Source organism: Homo sapiens, chromosome 6, assembly GCF_000001405.40.
Source record: "Homo sapiens chromosome 6, GRCh38.p14 Primary Assembly".
Taxonomy (NCBI): domain Eukaryota; kingdom Metazoa; phylum Chordata; class Mammalia; order Primates; family Hominidae; genus Homo; species Homo sapiens.
The window spans coordinates 42,657,195-42,681,012 of NC_000006.12; the positions used below are offsets into that span (position 1 = coordinate 42,657,195).

General features: G+C 39.4%; 1 protein-coding gene and 1 pseudogene across 10 annotated transcripts in view; both read left to right on the forward strand.

Moving 5' to 3' along the window:
• The window catches only part of UBR2 (ubiquitin protein ligase E3 component n-recognin 2), a 129,477-nt gene that overhangs the window by 93,166 nt on the left and 12,493 nt on the right, over nt 1-23,818 (forward strand). For 8 of the 10 annotated variants that reach the window (XM_017010594.2, XM_011514438.3, NM_015255.3 and 5 more), the window contains 16 exons: nt 830-939; nt 1,046-1,126; nt 1,452-1,630; nt 2,462-2,661; nt 4,990-5,083; nt 6,064-6,225; nt 8,215-8,318; nt 8,973-9,051; nt 12,898-13,046; nt 13,466-13,521; nt 16,597-16,693; nt 16,932-16,999; nt 18,862-18,997; nt 19,589-19,679; nt 21,345-21,475; nt 22,530-22,638. In XM_017010594.2, the coding sequence (XP_016866083.1) occupies nt 830-939; nt 1,046-1,126; nt 1,452-1,630; nt 2,462-2,661; nt 4,990-5,083; nt 6,064-6,225; nt 8,215-8,318; nt 8,973-9,051; nt 12,898-13,046; nt 13,466-13,521; nt 16,597-16,693; nt 16,932-16,999; nt 18,862-18,997; nt 19,589-19,679; nt 21,345-21,475; nt 22,530-22,638 (1,846 nt within the window). Of the gene's footprint in view, nt 1-829; nt 940-1,045; nt 1,127-1,451; nt 1,631-2,461; nt 2,662-4,989; nt 5,084-6,063; nt 6,226-8,214; nt 8,319-8,972; nt 9,053-12,897; nt 13,047-13,465; nt 13,522-16,596; nt 16,694-16,931; nt 17,000-18,861; nt 18,998-19,588; nt 19,680-21,344; nt 21,476-22,529; nt 22,639-23,818 lie in introns of those variants that run through there. The other 2 variants (XM_017010597.2, XM_047418494.1) reach the window with 2 other exon arrangements.
• Nucleotides 6,968-7,073, forward strand: RNU6-890P (RNA, U6 small nuclear 890, pseudogene; annotated as a pseudogene).

Below are 23,818 nucleotides of genomic sequence, written 5' to 3' on the forward strand. Positions count from 1 at the left end.
ACTGCACTCCAGCCTGGGCGACAGAGTGAGACTCTGTCTCAAAAAAAAAAAAAAAAAAAATTAGGTTCTCTCTTACTTTCTCTTTCCTTATTAAACAATCATCATTTTCCCTCAACATTACTCTTAACTTGTCTTTAGACATTCTACATAATTAAGACACACGATTTATTTCCAAAGAAACCTCTCCCTTATCTAGAGTCACATCTCTAATGCATGCCACAGTTTTAGATGTGATAGAATATTAAAGATCACACAGGTCAATCTCTTCCCCTCTTAGGAAAAAGGGACATTTTTCCAGAATGGCAGCACCAAAATCAAGAAAATCAATAGTTGAACTTTCTGGCTACAGACTAATAGAAAATATGGACTTGACTCTTATATTCAAATAAACAAACTATGAATTCCTAGGAGAAGAAATTCATTTTATTCTGAATCTAGTTTTTATTAAAGTCAATGGTCAGAGCAAATAAACATATTTGTGCATATATGCACCTCTTAATGCTAATTTATTTTTAGACCTGTAAAATCTGAGACACCACTTATTTTTAGCTGAATTTGTATGTAATTTTGCTAAAGGGATGTTAAAATAATCATTTGCTATAAAAAGTCACTTTTGAATCCTTAAAGAATTCTAGTTGTTGGCAACTTGTTTGTAAAAGACAAATATGTCACATTCTCAAGAAGTATTGAAAATCTCTATTTTGGTAGAGCCATAATCAAATTATGGGCAATAGGTGTTATAAGCAACTGCATTTATGTTCCTGTGCGTAGGAATAAGTACTATGAAGTATTAGCTATTGTTATTGTGCCTTTTATTTTTCTGCCGTAGAACCTGGTGAAGCGCCAAAAAATTCTCCTAGCATACTAGCTATGCTGGAAACACTACAAAATGCTCCCTACCTAGAAGTCCACAAAGACATGATTCGGTGGATATTGAAGGTAAAATTTCCACATTCCTCTGCTTTTTGTGAGAAATATTGAATATTTGTTATGTGTACATTGTGATCATATTTCATACAGGATACTGATACTTTTTTTTTTGTAGACTTTTAATGCTGTTAAAAAGATGAGGGAGAGTTCACCTACCAGTCCCGTGGCAGAGACAGAAGGAACCATAATGGAAGAGGTATAAACAGTAAAAAGTGTGATAATACTAAAAAATTACAGCAAGTTCAGTATGAACAAAATAAATTTATCTACATTAAGTTGCCAGTTACTCACAACATTTAAATTCCAAGAAATATGCCACTATTTATCTCTATTTGTTGTAGCAATTTTTTGTCTGCTTTTTTTCTTTAAAACAAGTCAGTTTAAGAGTCTTTTCTCTTATTTAAATAAGTGAGATTATAGAATAGTTTTTTAATTGGTATTTACAGTGAAGATATTTCTGCTTTGGAAAAAAATGTGCGTTTTAGCATCTAATTGTCTAATTGAATGGAGCATAATTTCAGAGTTCAAGGGACAAAGACAAAGCTGAGAGGAAGAGAAAAGCAGAGATTGCCAGACTGCGCAGAGAAAAGATCATGGCTCAGATGTCTGAAATGCAGCGGCATTTTATTGATGAAAACAAAGAACTCTTTCAGCAGACATTAGAACTGGATGCCTCAACCTCTGCTGTTCTTGATCATAGGTAAAAAAAAAAAAAAAAAAAATTAATGTCTTGACGAGTTTTTCCCAACTAGGGGCAGTGTTGCGTTTTCTCCTTGTAAGTATACTTTTAATCCTAAAGTAATTTAGTAGAATTCATAGGTAAATTTTGTGACCTCCATTTAGAAGATTTAATCTTAGAAGTCTCTGAATGTAGGTATGGTAAGTCCTGTGTACACCTGGTAGGGTATTTTCTGCAGAAGACCTTGGACATTCATGAAAGAATGAGTACACTACACTCAGTTACCTAGAGCGTATGACATCTGTGTTGAAGATTAGATTACTGTGAGGATTAAAGGAGATGGTTTTGATACATACCAAAGACTTGACAATCCAAGTTATCAAAACCATGTGTTAAATATATACATTCCTGGCTGTGCGTGGTGGCTCACGCCTGTAATCCCAGCACTTCGGGAGGCCAAGGCGGGCGGATCACAAGGTGAGGAGTTCGAGACCAGCCTGACCAACATGGTGAAACCCCATCTCTACTAAAAATACAAAAAAAAAAAATTAGCCGGGTGTGGTGGTGCATGCCTATAATCCCAGCTACTCAGGAGGCTGAGTCAGGAGAATTGCTTGAACCTGCGAGGCGGAGGTTGCAGTGAGCCAAGATTGTGCCACTCACCCCAGCCTGGGTGACAGAGCAAGACTCTGTCTCAAAAAATAAATAAATATATATACACACACACACACACACACACACACACACACACACACACACTACACACACACACACATACCTGTAGTCTGCTATTTTGTGATTATATAGAAAGTTTTGGGATCATTAATTATATTCATAACCTTTGTATTGCAGCCCTGTGGCTTCAGATATGACACTTACAGCACTGGGCCCCGCACAAACTCAGGTTCCTGAACAAAGACAATTCGTTACATGTATATTGTGTCAAGAGGAGCAAGAAGTTAAAGTGGAAAGCAGGGCAATGGTCTTGGCAGCATTTGTTCAGAGATCAACTGTATTATCAAAAAACAGAAGTAAATTTATTCAAGATCCAGGTAAGTCATAGCTAGATCCTCATCTTCCCTTTTAATAACAACTGCCAGTTAATGTGGTTGGTGATACGTTGAGATTTTTTAAACCTAAAAATAACTCCATGGACTTGGATGGTATCTTTGGCAGGTAACTTAGGCAGGAATTCCCCACTTGGCAGATGTGGAACCACTCCAGAAAGTTGCACCTGAATCACATAGCTGATAAATAGCAGGGATTCAAAGAAAAGCTTTTCTTTGTGATGTAACATTACATACTTTGGCATTTCACAGTCTTTTCCATCCTTCAGTACACTTGCAAAGTCCTGGTCATTTGTTGACACACTGAAATAATAATTGTTTTGTCTTATTGATAGAGCCTGAGTGGAATCTCCTGAGAACAGTGATGGAGAGTTACCTATGTAAGAGGCAATCCTTGAGCCAAATTGTTTTAGAATAGTAATACCACCACAGATCGGGTTCCCCAGAAAGCAGATTCTTGGGATACAGATTACCGTGCAGGACAGTTGAGGGCCCTCTTTCAGCAACTGAGGGAGTAAAGCAGGGAGATCCAGTCCGCACATGATTTTGTCCACCACAGACACATTTATTTCTCTGCTTGTAGGTTGTGCTCTGTGTGCGTGTGCTTCAGCGATACCCAGTAAACTTCTTGAGAGTAGGAACTGTGTCTTGGGAATTCCCAGAGCACTGCTTTAACCAGTGCCTTTCACACTGCAGCGTGAAAGGAGGTTTGAGAGCCCACTTTTAGAGTTGCCTTCTCTCTGTAAAGAAAGTCTTTGCATCCTACTTATGAAAGGTTGGTCTGCTTCATCTTTAAAAATGGTCATTTAGGCTGGGTATGGTGGCTCATGCCTGTAATCCCAGCACTTTGGGAGGCCGAGGCAGGTGGATCACCTGAGGTCAGGAGTTCAAGACCAGCCTGGCCAACATGGCGAAACCCCATCTCTACTAATAGTACAAAAAAAAAACTAGCCAAATTTGGTGGCACGCGCCTGTAGTCCCAGCTACTCAAGAGGCTGAGGCATGAGAATTGCTTGAACCTGGGAGGCAGAGGTTGCAGTGAGCCGAGATTGCACCACTGCCCTCCAGCCTGGGCAACGGAGCGAGACCCTGTGTGGTTTTTTTGTTTGTTTGTTTGTTTGTTTTTAAAAAAAAAAAAAAAGGCCAGGCGCAGTGGCTCATGTCTGTAATCCCAGCACTCTGGGAGGCCAAGGCAGGCAGATCACAAGGTCAGGAGATCAAGACCATCCTGGCTAACACAGTGAAACCCCATCTCTACTAAAAAATACAAAAAAAAATTAGCCAGGCGTGGTGGCAGTTACCTGCTACTCGGGAGGCTGAGGCAGGAGAATGGCGTGAACCCAGGAAGCAGAGCTTGCAGTGAGTCGAGATCGCGCCACTGCACTCCAATCTGGGCGACAAAGCGAGACTGTCTTAAAAAAAAAAAAGATATTTAAACTAGGTGCTTTATAAATTTCATTCCAGGCCAAAGACAAAGTTGCTAATTTTATTTAACTTATTACTTCTGAAGAAAAAGCATTAGCTGGCTATAAGTGGATTTTCTTAATGCTTTGACATTTGCACTGTTCTAGTGTTAAAGCAAATTAAAACTATTAAAGCAAATTAAAAGTAGTTCTTTCTAGAGTGTTAGGAAATTTCGAAGATTATACTAATTTATATAAAGAATTCAAAAATTCCAAAAGAAGCCAGACATCCATCTTGTTTTTCATGATTTTTCATCCCCTTTGAATATAAAAATTAGCACCAGGACAGAAGACTCTGAATTACCTTTTTTCCCCCCATCTGATCTGGTCTGTGCTTAGATTTTTTGTTGTCACTTTGGCTCTGATGTGATTATTCGCTGTATGAGTGTTGTTAGGCAGTCTGTCCTCTAGGGGGCGCCCCGTTACTGCCAAAACATTTTTTATTAGCGATCATTTTAACCCAGCTGCCCTGAACGCACATAAGGCAGCCCCATGAAGAGAGTAGCTCTTTTACCTGGAGCTCAGGGTACAATGGGAGGAATTGGAATATCTCAGCACCCTGAAAGTGTGAAATGTTCAAAAGATTGGATATATTTAAATTCATAGTTCTAATTTCAGTTTAACAATTTGAGAATGTTTAATTAATTTGCTGTGGGTGGTGAAAATTAGAGAGTCCTACTTTCTAAATAATCCAAGGTGTTGCATAAATTGGTATCTCAGAGGAATAAACTAGCATTTCATTTCAAATTTCAAGTCTTTATCAAGGATTTTACAATTTAAAGTTACACATTTGTTATAGGAAAATTAAATGCTTCACTTTTGTTTTGTTTTGTTTTGTTTTGTAATGCAGAAAAATATGATCCATTATTCATGCACCCTGATCTGTCTTGTGGAACACACACTAGTAGCTGTGGGCACATTATGCATGCCCATTGTTGGCAAAGGTAATGTATATTCTTAATATTTGTCAAGAGAAGTTTATCTAAGGGCTCAATATTTTTTAAATAGAGGAAATTTCATTCTAGAAAAAAGGAAAAGAACTAAAAATGTTGAAAAAATCCGTATCATTGCCTAATAAATAACAAAAGTTATTTGCCTTGTCATAGATGTAAAGTGTATGTCAGATATGTTTTTTAATTTAGCTTTATATCCAAGTCTCTTCTATATCTTCCAAAGAAGGAAGTGGATCTGTATCAGTCTGTGGATGAAGAAAAGGGTTTTTACAGTAGGATAAACTCTAGAAGGGTAATGTTGTCTTTCTTTGGGTCCAGGGTGGACAACTTTTGATTCCATAGATGTTAGTACTTGCTTTGTTACTTCCCAAAATTGTAATGGCTCCCTGTGATGAGATGTCCTGAATTTGTTCTACCTTGGTGTTTCCTATGCTTCTACAAAACCAACAAATCAATAATACTATTATTCTAGAACTATGCTCACCCAGTTATCATGAACTACCCCTAACAACTAGCCACCACATTGTAGTCCCAGCTACTTGGGAGGCTGAGACAGGAGAATTGCTTGAATGTGGGAGGTGGAGGTTGCAGTGAACCAAGATTGTGCAACTGCACTCCAGCCTGGGCGACAGAGCAAGACTCCATCTCAAAAACAACAACAACAACAAAAAAAAAACAAATAGCCACCAGCCTTGGGGAAGTGGCAAGAGAACAATGACACCAAGAAATTTTTGTTGCTGCTTTGTGAATGCTTTTTTACATGGCAGTCTTTTTTTTTATTTTACTCTTTTAGAACTTTTAATCCATTTGGATTTTTAAAATCACTCAAAAATCATGTTAAAAATAATTTAGTTTAAGATTTTCATTTTTGAACTATTTGTGGAAACAAATTATTTTAAATGTTGAAGCTTATGGCTGTCATTTATGTAAATTACCATTGTTTTGATACCTCATGTTCTCTAATTGTAAAGGTATTTTGATTCCGTTCAAGCTAAAGAACAGCGAAGGCAACAGAGATTACGCTTACATACGAGCTATGATGTAGAAAACGGAGAATTCCTTTGCCCCCTTTGTGAATGCTTGAGTAATACTGTTATTCCTCTGCTGCTTCCTCCAAGAAATATTTTTAACAAGTAAGTTTTGGCTCATGACAACTATTACAAAGCAATAGTTTGCTTTGAAGATAATGAAATAATAAATCAAGGAGGAAAACTTAGTCTAGGCAATTGCATAGTGTTTTCCAGATACTTTCCAAACTCTAATCATTTTCTTCTAGCAGACCTGTGGAATGTGATTTTAGTTTTTAGAGAGGAACAGGTGAAAATTTAACAGTTTCTAAGCTATTAAATTCCTATGTATTTATGAAAACCAAGTATCTGGTTTATTTCTAGGGACCCTACTTTTAATATCTTCCATACACTTTTCAAGAGATGCTCAGTAAACTGGTAGAGGGAGATGGAACAACTCAAACTGACTTTATAGGACAGTCTAAAAATCGAATAAAACTTTTTGCTGTACTGGCCATTCATAGTTTTAAGAACCAGGCAAAAAAGTGAAAATCTGTTGGTATATTTTAAATGGAAAAATCTCAGCTGGGCGTTGTGGCTCACATCTATAATCCTAGCACTTTGAGAGGCCAAGATGAAAGGATCATTTGAGCCCAGGAGTTCAAGACCAGCCTGGGCAACATAGTGAGACCCTGTCTGTACAAAAAATAAAAAGTTAGCTGGATGTAGCGGCATATTCCTATAGTCCCAGCTACTTCAGAGACTCAGGTGGGAGGCTCGCTTGGGTCAAGGCTGCAGTGAGCTTTGATCATGCCATTGCACTTCAGCCTGAGTGACAGAGCAAGACCCTGTCTCAAAAATAAAATAAGTGCTTGCTTCAGCAGCACATATACTAAAATTGGAACGATAAAGAGAAGATAAGCATGGCTCTTTCACAAGGATGACACACAAATTCATGAAGTGTTCCATATTTTTAGCTCTTTTAGAATTTGTCTAGCAGACTAAAAAAAAATAAGAAAAGAAAATGGAAAATTTCTGTAACTTCACAGTTTTTTGGATGCTTTTAGTTACGAGTATTGGACATACTCATTTCGAGTATGAATTTGATAATGTCTGCTTTTCGAATCTGAACTTCATTTCTCAATGTAGAATTATGCTATCTACGTTGCATGCACAAATACTAAGTTATGTGAGTATAAACGATCCATTTCTGTGTTATTTGGATTCAGTTCAAAGCAAAGTCAGTTTTTTCTTGTCAGTTTTAGGAGTTCAAACTTTGGTGTTCTTAGTCTATGCTACCACAAAATGTTCTTAAAATATTAGTAGATTTGAGTGTAAGCTCATGCTTTTTAATTATAAAAGAATATCGTGGTACTGACTTATCTGCATTTGAACTGATGAAGAAATTAATTATTGTTAGATGGAGGATTAACTGTGTATAAGAAGAAATCACCCTTGTTGGATTTCATCTGTCACTTTATTGGTCCAATTTTTGGGTTTTGCCCATGAGATTCAATTATGGTTTAGTCATATTCGAATACAATCATAAAAAGAACACAGGCTTTGGAATCTGACAGAGCCAAGTTTGAATGCTAGCTTTGTCCCTTATTCGGCCTTAGTCAAGTTACATAGCTCTAAACCTCAGTTTCCTCATCTGTAAAATGGGGACAATAATAAAACCTATTACAAAATATAGGAATACAACCTATGCAAATAATAATACAACCTGAAACAAAATGTAGGGATATTTTGAGGATTAAGTCTAATACCATAAGATATTTACAGTAAAATTCCTTACTAAGTGCTTGTAACATAATAAGCACTTGGTAGATATTAATAGTGATGGTGATTATGATACTTAAGAAATTCTAGCAAATTCCAATACTGAAGAGTGAGATTTTTAATACACAGTGTTATTACCATCATATTGACAAATAATATATTCCTTTCCATTGGCCAATATCCTGATTTTTTTTAATGCAACAAATTTTCCCTTATCCTTTTTGTTTTTAATATTTGGAGTGTGTCTAAAATATGCCTGTGATCATTTAAGGAGTCTTTTGTATCTTAAGGAACAATAATAAAACACTAAATACTCTCTATAATCTTTTCTAGCAGGTTAAATTTTTCAGACCAACCAAATCTGACTCAGTGGATTAGAACAATATCTCAGCAAATAAAAGCATTACAGTTTCTTAGGAAAGAAGAAAGTACTCCTAGTAAGTTCTGGTAACCTGTTTTCATTTTTCCCTAAAGTCCGAGGTCATCAGAAAATGTATTTCCAGAAGAAGTTGTTTAAAAGTGAAACCTCCCATTTAAAATTTTGACTCATTCTAATTTTCCTTGTCTTAATAAACTAAATTTGACTTTACTGCATTACTCCTTATTCCTTAAACACACAAGCTCATGTGAAGTTTCTAATAAACACTTCTCACTTATTCCCCCATTTTATTGAAGAGCTTCTGGAGGTGGGGGAGATGTAACTGAGTGTTGCAGAGCTAGCTTTAGTTCTCGGTGGGCTAACTCACCTTACTGTTGGCATTACCAAAGGCTTCCCAAGTTTCATAGACCATGCACTGCACTTATGACCTTGTGGGAACGTAGTATGAACAGGATTTATATCATTGGTTTTCATAGAAACAGAATAGCTACTCTTGTTTTTGTTTTAGTGGCTGTACTATAAGGAAAAGCATAGTTAAGAAAGGGCCTTGGTCAACTAGAGCAATAACGTTTTCATGCTTCATATGGTTGTTATGCCAGTTTTTATTAGGGAATTTTTTTCCTTTTGTTTTTGATTTCTTTGACCTATATGGCTGTACTTTTAGGAATATTGTCATCTATTGAATAATAGTATAAAATGCCTGTTTCTATAGATAATGCCTCTACAAAGAATTCAGAAAATGTGGATGAATTACAGCTCCCTGAAGGGTTCAGGCCTGATTTTCGTCCTAAGTGAGTATATTATTTTACTCCTTTAATATTTGACCCATTTGAAATGAATGATTAAGTCAGCAGTTAGGAGGAATATGATTTGGCAAGTGAGGGAGCAAAATGTTATAGGATACTGATCTTTAGTTGTAAGGTTTAAGCAGAGGCTGAGACAGGAGGATAGTGTGAGCCCCAGAGGTGGAGGCTGCAGTGAGCCTTCATTGCACCACTACATTCCAGTCTGGGTGACAGAGTGAGACCCTGTCTCAACAACAACAACAAAAAAAGTTTAAGCATTACTTGATGGTATTTATTGCAGTACATTAAAAAAATCTAAGAACCATGTGGCATGTTTAACTCTCACCACCCTCTCCTAGTCAGCATTGCTGACCCCTGCCACACCCCTTTCTTTACCTGGCTCTCCTTGACAACATCTAATCAGTAATTCTAAATACAAACTGCTCAGCCTCCCCAATGAATCCCGCACTTCCGTCTGACTTCAAAATTTCTATTAATGACCTAACCAAGCTCTTAGTAACCCAGGATTAAAACCAGAATATTTTCCACCCTATTTTACCCCATAGCCAGTTAGTTACAAGGTATAGCATAGATTCTGGAGCTAGACTGGTTGATTCAGTTCCCAGCACCACCACTTATTAGCTGTGCAACTTTGGGCAAATTGCTTGACCTCTGTGTACCTCAATTCCCTCATCTGTCAAGTGAGGATAATTCATAGGTGTTATTAGGATAAAGTGACATAATGTACGTAGAGCTACCTGAAAGCTGTGCCTGGCATGTACCAAGTAACTCAATAAATACAGACCTAAAGACTTGAATAGAAAAAAACATCATGCCTATAATCCCAGGACTTTGGGAGGCCATGGCGGGCAGATCACTTGAGGTCAGGAATTCAAGACCAGTCTAGCCAACATGATGAAACCCTGTCTCTACTAAAAATACAAAAATTAGCCAGGCGTGGTGGTGCACGCTTGTAATCCCAGCTACTTGGGGGGCTGAGGCAGGAGAATCGCTTGAACTTGGGAGGCAGAGGTTGCAATGAGCCAAGATCATGCCACTGCTCTCCAGCCTGGGCGACAGACCAAGACCCTATCTCAAAAAAAAAAAAAAGAAAAAGAAAAAACTTCAATCTTCTGTCTGCCACACTCCCCCAGTCCTGTCATTTTATTTGTCACTTCTAGTGTTTACTTCCATATTTCTAATTAGACAGTATCTTCACTGTTGACTGGTAAATTATTCCACAATTTTTGGTTAAATCTAGTTGTCAGTTTTTACATTATAATAACTGTGTTTCTGCTGATACAAGTTGCGTATTAGAATTATATTTCCTTTCTTGTACAGTTTTGTCTTTTTTTTTTTTTTTTTTTTTTTTGAGATGGAATCTCGTGCTGTCGCCCAGGCTCAGTTTTGTCTTTCTTATAGTTAATAATTACCTTGTCTTTTTCATGTACTTGTTTTCTATGTATTTTTTTTTTTTTTTCTGAATGGTGCAGTAGATCTATCCAATGTCTAACAACTTTTTCTTTTTTTTTTTTTTTGAGACAGAGTCTCACTCTGTCACCCAGGCTGGAGTGCAGTGGCGTGATCTCAGCTCCCTGCAGCCTCCCCTCCCGGGTTCAAACAATTCTCCTGCCTCAGCCTCCCAAGTAGCTGGGATTACAGGCATGCACTACCATGCCCGACTGATTTTTGCATTTTTAGTAGAGGTGGGGTTTCTCCATGTTGCCCAGGCTGGTCTCAAACTCCTGACCTCAGGTGATCCACCCGCCTCAGCCTCCCAAAGTGCTGGGATTACAGGCATGAGCCACCACACCTGGCCTCCTAACAACTTTTCTAAGTGCTCAGATCTGTCCGATGATCTTCTGTTGCTAGGTCCCTCCTTCCCCTACACAGCCTCTGTTCTCCTACAGTCAGGAGGGGGCACAGCTGTCACTTCTCTTGGCCCTGCTCCTCTTATTTTCTGGATTGAGTATCTTCCTCTTTCTTAAGTACTTGACTCTTTTTGCAGATTCCTAAGAAAGGATACCTGGATGGTATATTTTCATGTTCGAAAATATGTTTATTTTATTCATATGCTCAATTGATAGTTTGGGTGTAGAATTCTAGGGTAGAAGTAACTTTTTATCTAGATTTTGAAGGCATTATTTTACTAAATTCTAATCCATTGAGAAATTATTCCCATTCTAATTCTTGTTCCTTTGTAAATTTTTGTTTTTTTGAGACAGGTTCTCACTCTGTCATCCAGGCTAGAGTGCAGTGGCACAATCTCAGTTCACTGCAACCTCTGCATCCCGGATTCAAGCGATTCTCCTGTCTCAGCCTCCCAAGTAGCTGGGATTACAGACATGAGCTGCCACACCTGGCTAATTTTTGTATTTTTAGTAGAGACAGGGTTTCACCCCATCTTGGCCAGACTGGTCTCAAACTCCTGACCTCAGATGATCCACCCACCTCGGCCTCCCAAAGTGCTGCAATTACAGTCATCAGCCACTGCACTCAGCCTCATTTTTTTTAACTTTTTTAGAGACAGGTTCTATGTTGTCCAGGTTGGCCTTGAACTCCTGGGCTCAAGCGATCCTCCCGCCTCAGCCTCCTGAGTAGTTGGGATTACAAGTGTGAGCCACCATGCCTGGTTCCTTTATAACTCTATTACTATACTATTACTTCTATTTTCTATTACTACTTTTTTTTTTTCTTTTTTGAGACAGAGTGTTGTTCTTGTCACCCAGGATGGAGTGCAGTGGCACGATCTCAGCTCACTGCAACCTCTGCCACCCAGGTTCAAGGGATTCTCATGCCTCAGCCTTCCAAGTAGCTGGGACTACAGGCATGCACCACCATGTCCCACTCATTTTTTGTATTTTTAGTGGAGACAGGGTTTTACCATGTTGGCCAGGCTGGTCTCGAACTCCTGACCTCAAGTGATTCACCCACCCTGGCCTCCCAAAGTGCTAGGATTACATGCTGAGCCACCGCACCCAGGCTTGTAACTCTGTTACTTCTGAAAACTGTAAGATACTCTCTTTATCTCTTCAGTGTTCCGAAATTTTCTATGATATTTCTTGGTATATGAATCTTTTTTTATTCATTTTGCTAGGCGTTCAGTAAACCTATTGAATCTGAACATTCATGTCCTTCATTTCTGAGAATTTTTTATGTTGTTTCTTAAATAATTTTCTCTTGGATTTTCTTCTTTGAGGTAGTTCTGTTAGCTCACTGTTGCCCCTCTTGAACTGATAACCTAATTTTCTTATGATTTTTTTTGCTTTCTACATTGTCTCTGTTTTCCCTGAGTTCTGTTTCTCTGCTCCTTTGTTTTGGTTTATCTCTTTGATGCTTTCCTTAAATGTTTATTAGTCCTTGGATAACTATTTAAGCATAAGGCAATGAGCATAAGGATACCTGGTGGACAGGTTGGAGCTTGCTGACTTGTAAGCCTCACAATAAGGTGATCAGGACACCTCCAGTCTTTTGCTTGGTGACCCCCGAATGTCTGTGTAAAAACAACTTTCCCCTGAGGATTGTTCACTGGAAAAACTAATCTCTGTGGAAGTGGGTATACATTGCTGATGTTCTCAGGATGGGAAACAGGGTCAAGGATCTCATTGTGTAGTGTGTAGGCTTGTGCCCAGCACCCTGTTTTCAGCCCTGTGCCTCACCCCTGCTAAGTCAAAGAGTCTAACTCCTCTTGGGCAGGGGCAGTTTGCATTATCTCTGATCACTGCATACAATTATCTCTGGATATATGTTAAGTGGTTCAATTTCAATATAGCAAAGAGCTGTTAAGAAACCGAACCATTTGATTGATATGTGCACATTGTTCTGAGCTAATTTTATACATGTTTACTTCAGGATCCCTTATTCTGAGAGCATAAAAGAAATGCTAACGACATTTGGAACTGCTACCTACAAGGTGGGACTAAAGGTTCATCCCAATGAAGAGGATCCTCGTGTTCCCATAATGTGTTGGGGTAGCTGCGCGTACACCATCCAAAGCATAGGTAAGAGATTTACAGCTGTTTCTCTATAAGTCACAAGCATTCATTGATATGAATTAGGCATAGAATCTTGTTTTTAAATGAAATGTTTGAAGTGGGTAACAACGTGAAGAAATAATAAAAAGACTTAGAAGCAAGAAATGTAATGTACTGACAAAATACTAGATTGATAGTTCATAAATTAACCACAGCAACAGAGAACTCTTGGTGGTGGTGGTTATAGCTTCTTGTCAGTTGAAGGAATGTACTGTTCGTTTTTACTTTGTAACCAAATTTAATTCTTGTGAAATGACTTTGAAGATTCTGAAACTTGACAATATTGTACTTTCTGTAGGATTGGGGTTTTTTTAACCTTTTTAAGAAAATTATATTAAAATATACATAACATAACATTTACCATTTTAACCATCTTTAATCTGTAGAAAGAATTTTGAGTGATGAAGATAAACCATTGTTTGGTCCTTTACCTTGCAGACTGGTAAGTTCTCAGTTTATTCAGTTCATGATAGTGGGGCATGGAAATTAGGTGGTTCTGCTGCTTTTAATCTTATGGACCTGCAGTAGTTACTTACACCTTCACTTCTTTCGTAGTAAAAACCCATTTTCTGTAAGGATATTAAAAAGTAATGTTTGTGGTTTAATCTTTCTTTTAAATAAACTTCAGGAGGCCGGGCGCAGTGGCCCACGCCTGTAATCCCAGCACTTTGGGAGGCCGAGGCAGGAGGATCACCTGAGGTCGGGAGTTTAAGACCAGCCTGACCAACATGGAGAAACCTCGTCTCTACTAAAAACACAAAATTAGCCAGGCGTGGTGGCGCATGCCTATAGTCCCAGCTACTCAGGAGGCAGAGGCAAGACAATCGCTTGAACCCGGGAGGCAGAGGTTGCGGTGAGCTGAGATTGTGCCATTGCACTCCAGCCTGGGCAACAAGAGTGAAACTCCATCTCAAAAAAAAAAAAAAAAAAAAATTGCAGCCTGGCAGTATAGTGAGACCTCATCTCTACACAAATTTTAAAATTGGCTAGGAGTGGTGGCGTGGCATGTACCTGTGGTCCCAACTACTTAAGAGGCTGAGTTGGGAAGATCACTGGAGCTGGGGAGGTTGAGGCTGCAGTGAGCCATGATTGTGCCCCTGTACTCTAGGCTGTGCAACAGCACAAGATCCTATCTTTAAAAAAAAAAAAAAGAAGAAGAAGAAGCAGAAGAATGTATATTCTAGCTCCACTTTCTTGCTAACCATTCATATTTCAACTCCTGCAGTTTGGCTCCACTTCTAACACTTTCTGACTTCTATGAAATATCTCTTTCCAAGTTCACCAAATGATCTCCTGATTATCATTTTGCGTGGGCATTTTTTAGCCCTTGTCTTTGAAACCTCTACTTAATTGCTCATTCTGAAACTTTTATTTCTCTCCATTCCTTCTTCATTCTGAAACTCAATTTTCCCTTAATTTCTGTGACACTCTTGGCTTTCTTTCTGCCTCTGTGGCTCCTGCCTCTCAGCCCACTCTCCCTCCTCCATCCTGCAGTTGTCATTTTTAAACCTCCAGAGTTCTGCCATCTAATACTCTTCCCTGGTCAGCCCCATCTATGCCTCTGATTTCAGTTATATCCAAATGATCCCCACCTGTGTATCTCCAACCCAGATCTTTATCTTAGGTGTAGGTTATCTCTGCCTATTTTTTTAACCTGGATCTCCTACACATACCTAAAATTCAATCCAAATTAATTTTTCTTCCTATAGTCCCTGTTTTAGTTAATTTCACCACTATTCATCCAGGAGAAACCAGAAAATTGAAGTCTTTTTTTTTTGAGATGGAGTCTCACTCTGTTGCTCAGACTGGAGTGCAATGGCACAATCTCGGCCCACTGCAGCCTCTGCATCCTGGGTTCAAGCGACTCTCCTGTCTCAGCCTCCCGAGTAGCTGGGATTACAGGTGCATGCCACCGTGCCCAGCTAATTTTTGCGTTTTTAGTAGAGATGGGGTTTCACCATGTTGGCCAGGCTGGTCTCAAACTCCTGACCTCAGGTGATCTGCCCATCTCGGCCTCCCAAAATGCTGAGATTGCAGGCATGAGCCACCATTCCCGGCCTAGATACATTTTTTAGCCTGGGCATTCACATTCAGTTGGTCAGCAGAGTCTGACAAATTCTCACCATTCCTTCTTCTACTTGTTTGGTTCAGCCCCATATTATTTCTTGCCTAGATTATCATAGCAGTTTTTACCCAGAATCTCACTCTTCTCTAATACGTTATTAGAGGGGCTCCTCAAAAGCAATCCTGTTCATATTCTTCATACTTTTACAAACTTCTTAACCTATTTCTCCATTATCACCTCCTGCCAGTTCCCACCCCTGTGGTCCAGACTTGTAGAATCACTGCCAGTTCCTCAATGCTAGTTCCCATGCCTTTGCACATTCCATTTCCTCTGCCTAGAGTACCCTAAGCAGACTGCTACTCTTTCAGATGCTGTTCAAGCTTTCCCTTCCCTTAGAAAGCCCTCTGAACCATGTACTGTGAGTTAGAGACCTCTCATCTGTGATGCCTGCCTCCTTCCCCACTTTCTTCCTTTCCCACCCCAGGACTTTAAGCTCTTTGAGAGCAGGAGGGGGAGAATGGGTTTTATTTGAAGATCTTCAGAACCAAGACCTAGTGTATATAGTAGGACCTCAATATTTATTGAACCAAACATTACAGAAAATTTGGAAAATGAAAAAACAAGCAGGAAGAAAAAAGTCATCAACTTATCACATACCCATCTTTTTCCATTAGCATATTTATGCTTGATTACAATTGGTACTCACATGTAGCTTTGTTTCTGCTGTATTCTTTAAATCAAGAGTTTTCTTATTACTGCTACTTAGTCCTCATAACAATTTTTAATAGCTGCAGGCACCCTCATTTGTACCACCATCTTCTTAGACAGTTTCCCCAATATTTGGAGTATCTCTTTAGGATACTCTACATTTTACGGAAGAGTATCCACATTTTAGAGGATCTCTTTAGGATAAACATAAGAGATATGTGTTTTAGGGTATCTGTTTAGGATAAACATAGAGAAATACTGCATCCGCATCTTGGCTTGTTTATTTGTTTTTTGAGATAGAGTCTCGCTCTGTTTTCCAGGCTGGAGTGCAGTGGTGTGATCTCAGCTCACTGCAACCTCTGCCTCCAGGGTTCAAGTGATTCTCCTTCCTCAGCCTCTCGAGTAGCTGGGATTACAGGTGTGAGCCACCACACCCGGCCTGCACTGGCATCTTGGGAGTGTCCCTTGCTTTCTGTCAGATGCGTATATTCTATATTCTTTTCTTTTCCAGAGAAAACCAGCAACATGGTGGCAAAGAGATAGATTTCATTTATTCAGCACACACTTAGACATTTCCCATTCCATTTATCCTGTGTTAGAGGCATGTCATTGAGATGTCATAGATCTAGTTCCATACCATCTAGAGCAGTTTCATTGTGCATCCAGCTGTGCTCTGAACTAGCATTCCTGAAAGAGAACTGCTTTGCATTTTTGTTTTTTGTTAATTGCGTTGGTTTATTTTAGGATGACTGTCTTAGGTCATTGACGAGATTTGCCGCAGCACACTGGACAGTGGCATCAGTTTCAGTGGTGCAAGGACATTTTTGTAAACTTTTTGCATGTGAGTATTAATACATTTATAACATGTTGTAATTTTTCATCCTCTGAAATTTTGTTTTTAATGGTACAGCTTCTCTCAGTAATGAATTAAATATTTAGTAGTACTGGTTTTCTTATATATAAGCTCTAGCTTATAAATTCTCATGTGTCTTGCAAGAAGATAAATTTAAAGCAGATTATATGCATTTTAACATGTTGGCATATGAAATATGCTAATGTATTTCTCTTTAAATCTGTAGCACTGGTGCCTAATGACAGCCATGAGGAACTTCCATGCATATTAGATATTGACATGTTTCATTTATTGGTGGGTATTGTGCAGTTTGTTTGGACTTCTACGTCATACTATGTAACTTTACCTTAGGTTTGGTGAGCAGTGTAGTGGCAGACAGGAAGGAGTTATGTGATTTCCTTACCCCTTCTGAGTATAATTCTTTTATGAGAAACCTCAAAAAGAAAATATTTAGGAACCTAGTTGAGAGACTTGACCTGGTTATCGAGACGTCCTCTGACTCTTATTTTGCTTTATGGCTGAGGTTAGTATTTTAACCTCTCTGTGCTTTTAACCTGTAAAGAGATAAAAACACCAGCAACGGGTCAGGTGTGGTGACTCATGCCTGTAATCCCAGCACTTTGCGAGGCTCACCCCAGATCACTTGAGGTCAGGAGTTTGAGAGCAGCCTTGCCAACATGGTGAAACCCTATCTCTACTAAAAATACAAAAAATTAGCTGGGCGTGGTGGCACATGCCTGTAATCTCAGCTACTCAGGAAAGTGAGACAGGAGAATCACTTGAACCCAGGAGGCGGAGGTTGCAGTGACCAAGATTGCATGACTGCACTCCAGCCTGGATGACAGAGCAAGACCCCATCCAAAAAAAAAAAAACAGCAACAGAAGCACTGCTGCTGGCCCATACAGTGCTTTTGTACATTTTCGAAAATCTGGCAGATACAGCCCTGTGGTCACACTACTTAGCAGCAGAGAGCCCCTTATAATTCAGGGAAAGGTATGTCCTCTGAGCCAGGACATCCTAGTGCTAAGACACACAGCTGTCCAAATAGTGGGTAGCCAAATTTCAGCCCTACCTCAACTGGGTTCCCTTGCACAGGGTACAGAGTGTACTGCCACACCCAGCAGCCCCGAGTGCTGTGCCTTTATTCTCTGGACCTCAGATTCTGCCCCTTTAAGTTGGTTAGTACCTACTTTATATGACTATGTCAGAACTCAGTGAGTTAATCCATGTAACACACTTAGAGCAATATATTCCTAATAAATGCGGCTATTACTGTTCTCATTGCTGCAACTAAAACCACCACCACTTATACTGCCATGCAGACAGCAGGAGGCCAACAGAGCTAGCATTTGTGTACCTGCCAGCTTTTACATACGTTCACACTTACATCTCTACAATTTACATGTAACATATTGTCTTTAGTTTACCAATAGGGAAACTGAGGCCTGATCAGAGATATTAATTTGTGTAAAACAGCTCATAAGAGGAGGAGGTAGGATTCATATCTAGATATTTATGGGTCCAAAACCCATGTTTTTTCAACTGCCTACAGTCCTGGAGAGAGTTCAGATACTGTTTTTGTTAACAATAAGCTATGTATAGAGGACCCACTGGATTAATGAAATCATAGTGCCCATCAAGAGTCCTGTAACTCAAGTCATTTCATGTAGCCAGTCCTATTGGATTTTCCAACATGGATGCCCTTTCTTTAAGAACAAAGATTTCTTAAAGGGAGGAGCTGAACTCAGGAGGGATCACAGTAAGAAAATGGAAATGTGACCAGGCGCGGTGGCTCACGCCTGTAATCCCAGCACTTTGGGAGGCCGAGGTGGGCGGATTACCTGAGGTCAGGAGTTCGAGACCAGCCTGGCCAACGTGGCAAAACCTCATCTCTACTAAAAATACAAAAAGTCGGGCATGATGTTGCACGCCTGTAATCCCAGCTACTCAGGAGGCTGAGGCAGGAGAATCGCTTGAACCCAGGAGGTGGATGTTGCAGTGAACCGAGGTTGCGCCATTGCACTCCAGCCTGGGCAACAGAGTAAGACTCTGTCTCAAAAAAAAAATCAAAATAAAAGTAAAAGTAAGAAGATGGAAATTTGCTTAGCTGTGAAAGGAAAGGCGATCTGTCTGATGTCCTGTGTTTGGTGCCTAGGTGGGCTTGGTGCTTGCATTTCCTGCGTTGCAGTGTCAGGATTTTTCAGGGATCAGCCTTGGCACTGGAGACCTTCACATTTTCCATCTGGTTACTATGGCACACATCATACAGATCTTACTTACCTCATGTACAGGTAACTCTTGCCTTTTTGTCAGTTTCTTGAAGGAAATACTTGAGTTTTCTGAGTTTTAAAAAAAGTATTAGAGGAAAAGGTATTTGGATGAGAATAACACATGAATAAGGCTGTTTTTTTCTGTGTATCTTCATATGAAAAGTTTTGAAACATTTCTTTCTCCTCTTAAAATTTCCTAGTAATGTGAATGTTTCTAGTTTTAATTTCATACATTCAGTAATATTTGTGTAGAATAGTAATTAAATCTTTTAGAATCTTATGTTTTAGAATGCCAATTTTGTTTTAACTTACATGTTTGTTAATGCCCACATGAATTCATCATTAAATTACGTTTTGCATTCAAAATTCTTGTTTTTCATACACTTTAAGACTATATTTATTTGATTTTACTTAAAACATGCCAGCTGGCTGTTTGGTTTGATTGAGATCAATACTGTGCTCCCACTTGAGGGATTACAATTTTGCATGTTTTCTAGGAATACTTCATGTTATATGTGAGTTTATGAATATATTTGCATGCTTAATGTCTTCAGTCCTTTTGATAACACTTAATTGGAAAATACAGAGTACTAGTATTTCCTTATCTTTCAGAAGAGAATGGCATGGATCAAGAAAATCCCCCTTGTGAAGAAGAATCAGCAGTTCTTGCTTTGTATAAAACACTTCACCAGTATACGGGAAGGTGAGTTAGTTATCTTTACATAACGCATTTCCCTAAATATTGCTAGATGATGATAGCATGAGAAAGGAATTCGTTTGTTAATTAGGGGAATTTGTTGTCTGTTGACATGTTTTTAAAATAAGACGTGGAGTGATCTGCAGAGCCTTTCTGAACTATTCATATACTAACATAATTGGAAATCTGGGAGAAAGGTGATAATATGCAGAGCTTCCCACATTTATTTGGCTGTGGAACCCTTCATTTGCTCAGGGATCTGGCAGAGACTAGAGGATAGATCAAATGTACTTTGGAAAGTTGATACTCTAAAACTTATGTTGTCTCATTCAGAATGGGAATTTAAAACTGCAAGTTAAATTGGCATAATTTATTTTTAAGGTAATATTCAGTAGTAGCAGGAATAAAATGAAATTATTAGAATTCCATGTATGGTTAGAGTCATGATTTGCTACAAATAGCAATTCAGTAGTTTGCTTAGCTTTCAACAGTATATATGTCAAGAATCTGTAGTCAGGAACCTATAAAAATGTCTGTTTTTTGACTATCCCATTTCTGAGAACCTACATTAACAAAATAATTCAACATATAGAAAAAAAACATATAGGCATATAAAGATGGACACTCCAGCCAGGCACGGTGTCTCACCCCTATAATCCCAGCACTTTGGGAGAATGAGGCTGGCAGATTGCTTGAGCCCAGGCATTTGAGACCAGCCTGGCCAACATGGTGAAACCCTGTCTCTACCAAAAAATACAAAAATTAGCCAGGCATGGTAGCATGTGCCTGTGGTTCTATCTTCTCAGGAGGTTGAGGTAGTCAGATCACCCAGGCAGGTGAAGGCTGCAGTGAGCCATCACACCACTGCACTCCAGACTGGACAAAAGAGTGAGACCCTGTCTCAAAAAGAAAAAGATGTACACTCTGATATTATTTATATTAGCAAATAATTGAAAGCAATCTAAGTGTTTGCAGGGGAATAGTTTGATATAGTGATGAATGTGTTCCAAAATATTATAAATCTATTTAAAATATGGCTCCTAGGAGCTGGGTGCAGTGGCATGTGCCTGTAGTCCCAGCTGCTCAGGAGGCTGAGGTGGGAGGATTGCTGGAGCCCAGTAGTTTGAGTCCAGCCTGGACAACTTTTCATTTTCCACATTTTCTCTTTATGTCACTATGTTACTTTTATAAATTTTAATAACATCACACCTGTAATCCCAGCACTTTGGGAGGCCAAGGCGGGCAGATCACAAGATCAGGAGATCGAGACCATCCTGGCTAACACAGCGAAACCCCGTCTCTACTAAAAATACAAAAAATTAGCCGGGCGTGGTGGCAGGCACCTGTAGTCCCAGCTACTCAGGAGGCTGAGGCAGGAGAATGGCGTGAACCCAGGAGGCAGAGCTTGCAGTGAGCCGAGATTGTGCCACTGCACTCCAGCCTGGGCGACAGAGCGAGACTCCGTCTCAAAAAATTTAATAACAGCATTGGAGGCTGTGTCACCACTTACACCTGGCATCCTATAATAACACACACCCACTTGCCTGTTAACTCACAACTTTTAAGCATACATGCCATCAGTTCCAAATGACAGTCAAGTCTGTTTTCACACTATAAGTACAGTGACCTTTTCTTAGTAGATTTCCCAATAATCTTTTTTTTCTTTTTTAGTGCCTTGAAAGAAATACCATCCGGCTGGCATCTGTGGAGGAGTGTCAGAGCTGGAATCATGCCTTTCCTGAAGTGTTCTGCTTTATTTTTTCATTACTTAAATGGAGTTCCTTCCCCACCCGACATTCAAGGTAATTTATACTTTCTTTCAAAACGTAGGGAGAGTTAGTAATCCTTTACTCCAGCAAATATAAAGATCACTTGCAAAAATGAAAATTGACTAAAAGTTCAAAGAATAGCTTATTGACTATGGTGATGTACACATTTATAGCATAAAATGTATGTTTATGCATATGTCTCCATTTATTTGGATCTCAGTAAATGACTGTTAAACTTCTGTGTAAATGTTTTTACACCTGCAAAGCCCTTCTCCCGTAAAGATCATAGTTTTGCTTTCAGATGTTAAAATGTTCAGTTATGTATTATTCATAAACAAGGTTCCTCAGATTTGAAAAGGTGAAAACTGACAATTTCAAGTGATTTTTAACTTGAAACATGCATAGCATTAAAATTTAGAATACCCATAATTGCACATAAATCTGATTTTAATCTGGGAATTGATTTGCTCTTTCATAGTTGTTTTCCATGTTCTGTTTTGATTCATTTCATAAAAGTAGTATGAATGTGGACTTGACTGTATCTCTGTATCCCACAGTGCCTGGCACTGGCCGTAGAGTACCTGCATGCAGTGCTACTCTCTGAAAGTTTGTCCACTGGCATTTCCATTTAGCTAGTTGCCTAGGAACCATATAAAAGAGTTTAGTCTTCCAGATTATTTGCAGTGATGATTAGAGTTGGTATTTAAATCTGTGTCTCGTGGTAAAACCATCTTGTATTTCTGTATTGGTTGATCCTTTTCCAGAGCACCCATACATTTTTATCATTTAATGTTCACAATAACCCTGTGCAGTAGATTGTGCAGGCACACCATTTTGCAAATGATAAAGCCGAGACACCAGGACATTGGGACCAGTTTGATGTAGGAGTCGCCTGACTGCACTTGACGCATTGCGTCATTTTCCATGGATTCCTTCCATGTGCCATTCTGTTAACTTCCTACAAGTTACGTACCTGGCAAATTGGAAGTCTTTCATCCTTTTTTTTTAAACTCTGCTATTGCTTAACTCTCATGCAGAATATGCCCTTAGTTGTTATATGCACTCTTTTCTTGTTCTTCATTTGCAGTTCCTGGAACAAGCCATTTTGAACATTTATGTAGCTATCTTTCCCTACCAAACAACCTCATTTGCCTTTTTCAAGAAAATAGTGAGATAATGAATTCACTGATTGAAAGGTAATGATTATATACTTTTCTTTGTTGTATTAAATAGCTCTATGGAACCAAACTTTAGTTATCACATATGTAGCAAAATTCTCAAGTAATGACCCTGGTAGAATTCAACACAAATAATTCAAACTATAATGGGTGGGCCTTTTGTTGTTGTTTGTTTTGTTTTGTTTTGTTTTTGTTTTTGTTTTTGTTTTGAGACTGAGTCTTGCTCTGTCACCCAGGCTGGAGTGCAGTGGCATGATCTTGGCTCACTGCAACCTCCACCTCCTGGGTTCAGGGGATTCTCCTGCCTCGGCCTCCCAAGTAGCTGGGGTTACAGGCATACACCACCATGCCTGGCTAGTTCTTTGACCACCATGTTGGTCAGGCTGGTCTCGAACTCCTGACCTCAAATGATTCACCCACCTCGGCCTTCCAAAGTGCTGGGATTACAGGTGTGAGCCACCGCACCTGGCCTATGAGTAGGCCTTTTTAGCTAAGGATCTGGCTTTTCAGTAAACTTTTTGCCAAGCTAGTGAATAGCATAAACAAATTTGCATGGAAGGGGAATAGTGGTAGAAATGTTGATTTCTTTACATGAACTTACTTGTTAAGGACTCTCTTCCATAGGTTTTTTCTTGTTTTTGTTTTTAAGAGATGGGGTTTTGCCATTTTTTCCAGACTGCCTTTGAACTCCTGGGCTGAGACATTCCTCCCACCTCAGCCTCCTGAGTAGCTGGGACTGCAGGCACATGCCATCACACTCAGCTTTTCATAGATTTTTAAAGCTGAAAGAACCCTTAAGGCTATCTAGTCCAATACCCTCAACTTTATATTTGAGAAAAGTGAAGTCTAGAGAAATTGGCCTGTCAATCATGTCAAGTTAGTGACTGAGTTAAATATATGGCTGTTCTGTCCACAAAACGGGGGAAAATATTTGCAAACTACATATCTGATAAGGGATTAACATCCAGAATAGGCCGGGCACAGTGGCTCACCCCTGTAATCCCAGCACTTTGGGAGGCAGAAGTGGGAGGATCACTTGAGCCCAGAAGTTCAAGACCAGCCTGGGGCGGGGGCGCGGTGGCTCACGCCTGTAATCCGCAGCACTTTGGGAGGCCCAGACGGGCGGATCACGAGGTCAGGAGATCGAGACCATCCTGGCTAACACGATGAAACCCCGTCTCTACTAAAAATACAAAAA